The sequence below is a fragment of the Homo sapiens genome, chromosome 6 (assembly GCF_000001405.40).
Source record: "Homo sapiens chromosome 6, GRCh38.p14 Primary Assembly".
NCBI lineage: Eukaryota > Metazoa > Chordata > Mammalia > Primates > Hominidae > Homo > Homo sapiens.
The window spans coordinates 149,715,877-149,724,268 of NC_000006.12; the positions used below are offsets into that span (position 1 = coordinate 149,715,877).

Consider the following 8,392-nt stretch of genomic DNA (forward strand, 5'->3'; position numbering starts at 1 on the left):
TCTTCAAAGCAAAACTGCTTACCTTTTTAACCCACACTACGATGGGGCCAGATTCGTCTTAATAAACAATTCTGATCATGTCACCTACCTACCCCATAACTTTCAATGACTTTAATCTCATGGTTAAAGTAAGAGCTCTGGAATCAAACTGCCTGGGTATGACAGATCGCCATTTTTTTTTTTTTAAAGTTCAGACCCTCATCAAAAATACAAACATCAACAAACAAGTATCATTGATTAGTTTGTCCAACTTAGGAAAAAAAAAATGATACCATTACATAAGATTTCAAAGTGTTAATTTGGGTTGAATTAAGTTTATCAGAAAGGTACCCTGGCTGGGTGCAGTAGTGCACCTGTAGTCCCAGCTACTTGAGAGGCTGTGGTGGGAGGATTGCTCGAGTCCAGGAGTTGGAATCCAGCGCAGGCAACATAGCGAGTTCCCATCTTTAAAGGAAACTGCATACTGACATTTTCTTCAGTTCACTTTCTAATAATTGTCAGATCAAAAGTGAAAGCAACGCTGTATCTTCATGCTGAAAAATGATTGCTGTTCCTACTTAGCGAAAATGTTATTCAATGACTAAATAACTTTTGTGATGTATAACAATCTCCCATTGATGTAAATAAAACATCTAAAATAACCAAATAACCAGGGTTAGAACAGTTCCAACACTATTTATATAGAACAAGGACTTGCAATAAAAACAAAACAAAAATAAAAACGACCTACACAATGAAAGCCAGATATTATACATTAAAAATGTAGTAGAAGTATTTTTTGGTGAGCAGCAAGGCATATTCCATCAATATTTAGGCATAGAATGTGCCATTCCAAGCATGGACCATGATCTAGTTTCTTGCAGTAGCAGCCAATTGGACTAACACAATGCTACTTCTTTTACTGTTCAATCAAATTCCTCCACTGCCTTAAGGAATCAACTACCCCATTTTACCGTCAGAGATAATAAGCTTTGTTTTCGTAGCACAGAACATTCACTCCAATTATAATGTCCTACCTTTTCTTCCTCATGGAGGAAATTTGATAAAAAATTAAGTTTATCAGAAACTTCTGATAAACTGATAAACTGATAAATTTATTAACCTTCAATAAATAATTCATAAAGTTCAAACAAGTTTCATGATCGCTAACATTCAAATCCATTTCCAAAACTGGAGTTATACAATATTACTTCTGTGCATGAGATTATACTTATTGTTCACTAGATTTATGAATAACTTCTGGAGGATGATACATGTTTTAAAAGCCGTATTAACATATGAGTTGACAAACATTAAATTTTGTTCCCTTAGAAATTGACAGAGAAGTCAGAATGGGGATAAATCAAGTCATCTGAGGCATTCATTGAGCTACAAGCTATTTCAGGTTATAAAAAACACTGTTCCCTTAATTGTCGTTCCTTCATTTGCTGTATTTATATACACACTCCTACTCCATAAAGACCTCTCCATCTCTCCCACCTCTTCCAACTATGAACAGTAACCTAAAATCACACTGAACTAGACGTAAGAGACTCCCAGGATTTCTCTAAGGTATACCCAGGATCAAGGCCCTCTGGGATCCAAAGAACTGTAGCTCTTTTACTGCAATTTTCCTTCAGAACCACCTTTCCCGTTCCTTCCCTCCTGGACACCGCCGACTCGCGTGTTGGGGGTGGGGTGGGAGACACGCCGCCAGAAAGACAGGCTCTACCCAGCCAAACCTGCACCTCCGAGGCCGAAAAGCCTGGGGCTCTTCCTGCAGCACCGGGCGCGGCCAACCCTCGCTTCCCCAGGGCAGGGCTCAGCTCGGGTCAATGCAACCAGCCAAGTCAGGCCCGGAGCGGGCCGGCTCTGCCCGCCAGTCCAAACCTCTGGACCCTCGCCAGCGGGGATGGGCGTGGGCCCCGGCGGCCACCGCCCCGCCAACTCGAGCACTGGAGGAGCGCACCCGCTACGCCAGCCCCGGACCTACCTGGAGGGGAGAGCAGAGCTCCTGGACAGCGGCCACGGGCCTGAGGGCGGACGCTGAGGCGGCCAGAGTCCGTCCCAGCAACCCCAAGTATCCCTGGTGGGGCAGAGCGGGGAGACGAACGGGGGGGCTGCCGCGGGCCAGCGCGGCCCGTCCCAGGGGTCGTGAGGACCTGGCTCTCCCCTTAACACCAGGCCACCGCCGCCGCCGCCGCCATTTTGCCTTCCACTCAGTGTCGCCGCCGCCGCACTCCGCTGCAGGTTTCCCGGATGTGGGCATTTCCCGGCGTCGCTTGCGCGGGGGCCGAGGACTGGGGGCTTTTGCCCGCCCGGCTGCTGCGAGGGAGCGCGCAGCCTGCGGCCTCCGGGCTTCGTTGCGTCGCCCGCAGCTCTGATCGTTCGTGAGCGTCGCCCCACGTCGCTCCCGCCTGCCCCTGCCCATACGACTCGCCCGCGCCCGTGGGTTAAGGCTGTCTCCCGCCCAGCCTACTTGGTTGATTCAATCCTTTTCCCCATTGATCTATTTCTCTGGACCGAGTAGGGATGTGCATTTCACGGAGCTACGTTCTCAGAAGGGAACAACTGAGTTGCTCTGGGAAACCTCCCTGTGGACCTCAGAATTCCAGATTTTTGGCGCTTTGAAATAAAATTTTATTCTTGCTTAGCGTTCTTTCCCCGAACAAGCCGGTGAGCTTCCAGCATCTGTATTTTCTGAATCCGGCAGATAAGAAATGCTTGAGCCAGGACCGATTGATTAGCAGCGGTTTAGAGATCTTATCTGTCAACCGCATCCGTAGAAGGAGATCGTTATTGCCATAATTGGAATACCGGTGACGGTGTGACAAGAGGTTTTACTTCTGGTTAAGCTGAATGTAAAGTGTGGGATGGGATCGTTGGGTTTGATGTATAAGGTACGGTCCACCCTTTGTGAAGATCGCCTTTGCCAGTTTTTCCTCTAGGAAATATACAGTTAGTGTTTTCAAGTACCTTCTTTCGTAATTTTTCTACTACAGAGTACAAAAAAATTAAAGACATCTTTTTCTGACGTTAAAGTAATAACTGGCTACTTACTGTATCTAGAAATCCAAATGTGAAAACCCGTTAAAAGATTATGTTCCGGACGGGCGCGGTGTCTCACGCCTGTAATCCCAGCACTTTGGGAGGCCGAGGCGGGCGGATCACGAGGTCAGGAGATCGAGAACATCCTGCCTAACACGGTGAAACCCCGTCTCTGCTAAAAAATCCAGAAAAATTTGCCCGGCGTGGTGGCGGGCGCCTGTAGTCCTAGCTACTCGGGAGGCTGAGGCAGGAGAATGGCAGGAACCCGGGAGGCGGAGCTTGCATTGAGCCGAGATCGCGCCACCGCACTCCAGCCTGGACGACAGAGCGAGACTCCGTCTCAAAAAAAAAAAAAAAAAAAAAAAGATTATGTTCCAAGAACATTTGGTTGAAAGTCTATTTTCTACAAGCACAGAGTTTGTAGAAGGCAATGTGACCCAAGGTGGGTCACTAAAGAGCCCCAGGGCTTACTTTCTTCAACGTAAGGGTGCCCCATAAAGACCTTTTCAGCCCTAAAATTATATGAATTATAGGAATCTAATATGTCCACAGGTCTGCTTGCCCTATCCAAAAGGATTATGCATCTGGAAGGGCAGACTGCCCCCAGAATCCTGTCACGTCTGTCATCAACCCATGGTACTTAAGCTCCTCAATGCTCTCTAAACCTAAAGGAAAGTATCTCCACAAACTCTAGTCTTTGGGGAAATTCCTAGATAATTCAGGGAGCTGAGTAAATTGCTCTGTGTAGGACTAGGAGGCTTACTCCTGTGAAGTAGGGCGAGAGATAAAAGAGCAGGGAAAGCAGAGGTGGAATGATCAGGAAGAGAACTGACGAGATGCAAAGCATTGGGGACTGTAGGTGCGGAGAGTGATGATGGTTGGGGAAATACTTACTGTGGGTGCTGGATGTGTGGGAATGGTGATACCTGCCATCACATTTGCAGGTTTTTATATTATTGTGATGGAAGATCTTGGTCCAGTTTCAGCCTACTCAATTCTTCAGTGCTTCATGGAAATGGGGCTTGTTTTTAGCAATAGATGTAGAATCCGATTTCATGCTTGTGTGACCTTAGAAAGGAATTAGGGGGCAGTGTACATGGAAGAAGTCTGGAGACCAGTGTGGCCCTGAGAACATAAACCCTTCCAGAAATTCATACGATCTTAGGGGAAGACACCAGACTATGTGCCACCCACTCTTAAGGAATGGGGAGTTGTGCTCCATCTTCTTGAAAGTGGAGAATCCAGCCAGACTCTGTCCCCAAAAAATAAATAAATAAAATAAATAAAGTGGAGAATTCAAATAAATTATTTGACATTCTGCAGATTTATCCCTTCTCCTTTATTTATTCAAACATTTATTGGCCGGGTGTGGTGGCTCACACCTATAATCCTAGCACTTTGGGAGGCCGAGGCAGGCGGATCACTTGAGGTCAGGAGTTCCAGACCAGTCTGGCCAACATGGTGAAACCTCGTCTCTACTAAAAATAAAAAAAATTGGCTGGGCGTGGTGGGCGCATGCCTATAGTCCCAGCTACTTGGGAGGCTGAGGCAGGAGAATCGCTTGAACTCAGGAGGTGGAGGTTGCAGTGAGCCGAGACTGTGCTACTGCACTCTAGTCTGGGTGACAGAGCAAGACTGTCTTACAAAAAAAACAAAAAGCAAAAACATAAACAAAACAAAAACTCGTTATGTCAGTATGGCCTCATGGATATTTATTTTATGCTTTGGGTATTTATTTTGTTGCTCAAGTTGTTTCAGTTTTGGCCACTGGAGCTCTTTCAGTTGGCGTGTGTGTGTGTGTGTGTGTGTGTGTGTGTGTGTGTTTTAAAGAACTTTCTGCCCAGTTTGGTGGCTCACCCCTTTAATCCCAGCACTTTTTAATCCCAGTACTTCTGGAGGCTGAGGCAGGAGGATCACTTGGGCCCAAGAGTTCAAGACCAGCCTGGGTAACATAGCAAGACCTCATCTCTATAAATCAGCCAGGTGTGGTGGTACACAACTGTAGTCCCAGCTACTCAGGAGGCTGAGGCAGAAGGATCGCCTGAGCTCAGGAGGCTGAGGCTGCAGTGAGCCGAGATCTAGCCACTGCACTCCAGCCTGGGTGACAAAGCAAGACCTCACCTAAAAAAAAAAAAAAAAAAAAAAAAAAGAACTTTCTTCTTTTCTGGCAGTACATTATGTTCCAAAATCTTTTTTTTTTTTTTTTTTTTTTTTTTTAGATGGGGTCTCACTGTGTCACCCTGGTTGAAGTGCAGTGACATGATTATGGCTCACTGCAGCCTCAACCCCCGGGACTCAGGTGATGCCTCAGCATCCAAGTAACTTGGGATTACAGGCGCAGGCCACCATGTCCAACTTTTTTTTTTTTTGAGACCAAGTTTCTCTTGTTGCCCAGGCTGGAGTACAGTGGCGCCATCTCTGCTCACCGCAACCTCCGCCTGCTGGGTTCAAGCAATTCTTCTGCCTCAGCCTCCCTGAGAAGCTGGGATTACAGGCATGCGCCACCATGCCTGGCTAATTTTGTATTTTTAGTAGAGAAGGGGTTTCTCCATGTTGGTCAAGCTGGTCTTGAACTCCCGACCTCAGATGATCTGCCCATCTCGGCCTCCCAAAGTGCTGGCATTACAGGCGTGAGCCACCGCGCCTGGCACGCCTAATTTTTGTATTTTTTGTCGAGACCAGGTCTCCCTATGTCACCCAGGCTGGCCTTGAACTCCTGAGCTCAAGCGATCCGCCCGCCTTGGCCTCCCAAAGTGCGGGATTACAAGCTTGAGCTGCCGCGCCCAGTTCTCCAAGATATCTTGTATATTTCTTGCCCCGGTTCAGGGATCACCATTCCTCCAAGGATCCCTGGTTCCTTTTATTGGAATATGGTATAAGAAACCAAATCTGGGTGCTAGGTGTATGCCTTGCTACTGGTGTATCATGGATTCTAAGACTTCTCTGGCTAAGATTTTTTAGTTTATTCTACCCCTATAGAGGGGTAAAAACTCTTCTGATTTTTTGCAGCTACAAATTTTTTAAAAAATACTTTAATTAAATTTAAATTAATGTAATTTAGTTTTGAGTCATGCTGTGTCACCCAGGCTAGAATGCAATGGTGCAATCTCGGCTCACTCACTGCACCTCTGCCTCCCAGGCTCAAGCAATCCTCCTGGCTCAGCCTCCCAAGTAGCTGGGATTACAGGCATGTGCCAATATGCCTGGCTAATTTTCTTTTTTTTTTTTTTTAGTAGAGATGGGGTTTCACCATGTTGGTCAGGCTGGTCTCGAACTTCCCACCCCAGGTGATCCGCCTGCCTCCGCCTCCCAAAGTGCTGGAATTACAGGTGTGAGCCACCGTGCCCAGCCCCATTTTTTCTTTTTTTGAGATGGAGTCTTGCTGTGTTGCCAGGCTGGAGTGCAGTGGCACGATCTCCGCTCACTGCAACCTCTGCCTCCTGGGTTCAAGCAATTCTCCTGCCTCAGCCTCCTGAGTAGCTGGGACTACAGGTGCCTGCCACCAGGCCAGGCTAATTTTTGTGTTTTTAGTAGAGACGGGGTTTCACCATGTTGGTCTTGAACACCTGATCTCAGGTGATCCACCCCCCTTGGCCTCCCAAAGTGCTGGGATTACAGGCGTGAGCCACTGCACCTGGCCAGACCTTCTATTAGTCTGAGCTAGATACTATTGACACCATAAGCTTAACTAAAGGTTCAATATAAACTATATACTGTTGAATTTAATATGCTTCTTGGACAAGAGTCTAGAGTGGATTATTAAAAGGATGTTTCCACAATACAATTAAATAAAAGTACTATTCACAAAGGACCAGGAATTTTTCAATTATGCCAAATTTTTGATAGTATAACTACAGCACATTTTCTCACAATAACCTTGGAAATAAGATAAATGGAATGAAATGTCAATAAATTAGGTTGTTTTATAAATATTTCAGTAACTGTAGCCAAATACCAGAGATTCATGTTTCATTGATAATTGAGAAGACTCCAGCAGTGGGCCTAAAAACTTCATTTCATTTAACATCTTTCTGGCTGGGCATGGTGGCTCTTGCCTGTAATCCTAGCACTTCGGGAGGCCAAGGCAAGTAGATTGCTTGAGCCCAGGAGTTCAAGACCAGCCTGGGCAATATAGTGAAACACCATCTCAATAAAAATTGCAAAAATTAGTCAGGCTTGGTGGTACATGCCTGCAGTCCCAGATACTTGGGAGACCGAGGTGGAAGGATCACTTGGGCCCAGGATATCGAGGCTGTAGTGAGCTGGGGATCACACCACTGCACTCCAGCCTGGGTGACAGAGTGAAATCCTGTCTCAAACATCTTTCTTAATCAATGGGATGAAAGTGGAGAGAGCACGCTGGGCTAATTATGGAGAAAATAATAGCTTCTACAAAAGATTCAAAGAAAATAGTTAGTCCTTTCCTATATTGAAATGAAATTTTTCTTAGAACAAGAAAGGCCCATATTAAGGATTAAAAACCATTTGTATTAACTTCCGAATATAGGAAGTGTGGCTTAGGAGTATCACATGTGAACACTTCAGAAAGCTGACACAGCATTACAAAGGAATATCATTCCTATTAACAGGATGGCAAGATTTCTGTCATAATCACCAAGGTAGACAATATATGAAAAAGTGTTTATCTTGGAAGTCACACTTAAAAGAAGGCCTCTGGCCGAGCACGGTGGCTCATGCCTATAATCCCAGCACTTTCGGAGGTGGAGGAGGGTGGATCACTTGAGGTCAGGAGTTCAAGACCAGCCTGGCCAACATGGTGAAACCCTGTCTCTACTAAAAATACAAAAAATTAGCTGGGCGCACACCTGTAATCCCTGCTACTCGGGAGGCTGAAACAGGAGAATTGCTTGAACCTGGGAGGCAGAGGTTGCAGTGAGCTGAGATCGTGCCATTGCACTCCTGCCTGGGCGACAGAGCGAGACTTAAAGTCTCAAAAAAAAAAAAAAAGGCCTTTGACAAAGAGCAGTAATTTTTAAAGGGAAAACAAGATTGTGAAAACAAGGTCAATTAACAGTGACTCATTGCTTACTATGGTTCAGATACTGTTAAACACTGTTACACGAAGACATGGGCGCTGTTCTTGATCTTGTGGCCCAGTAGGGGGAGACAGGCTCCTTAACACACTGCTTTGCGCACAATTTAAGTTCTGCACAATGGGCTTTTGAAGCAGAGTGCAATTTAGTCCGGATTGCTGGAGGCCAATAAAAGCTGTCTGGAGAAAATGACACCTAGAAGGAGTCTTGAAGGATAAGAAGGATTTAGCCAAAAATGGAAAGAAAGAGAAGGAAACCTTCACTGGAGAGACTATAATAATCAATTTTGAATATTTGAATATGTGATGAGA

At 45.7% G+C, this 8,392-nt stretch overlaps 1 protein-coding gene and 1 long non-coding RNA gene across 18 annotated transcripts in view, besides 1 other annotated feature; one reads left to right on the plus strand and one right to left on the minus strand.

Annotated features, from left to right (window-relative positions):
* Nucleotides 1–2,225, minus strand: part of LATS1 (large tumor suppressor kinase 1) — a 59,949-nt gene extending 57,724 nt beyond the window's left edge. For 14 of the 17 annotated variants that reach the window (XR_007059386.1, NM_001350392.2, NM_004690.4 and 11 more), the window contains exon 1: nt 1,973–2,225. The gene's annotated coding sequence lies outside the window, so the exon portion shown is untranslated. Of the gene's footprint in view, nt 1–330; nt 550–1,727; nt 1,832–1,972 lie in introns of those variants that run through there. The other 3 variants (XM_047419518.1, XM_047419517.1, NR_073033.2) reach the window with 2 other exon arrangements.
* Nucleotides 1,715–2,104: a silencer, noted in NCBI's record as "silent region_17665". NCBI's record gives its function as "represses an Ori minimal core promoter by ATAC-STARR-seq in GM12878 lymphoblastoid cells {active_cell/tissue: GM12878}" and the evidence as "EXISTENCE:reporter gene assay evidence [ECO:0000049][PMID:35858748]".
* LOC645967 (uncharacterized) lies at nt 1,745–3,020 on the plus strand. The gene has a single exon (NR_134652.1). It is a non-coding gene; the product is annotated as an uncharacterized LOC645967 (long non-coding RNA).
* Nucleotides 3,021–8,392: the final 5,372 nt, after the last annotated feature.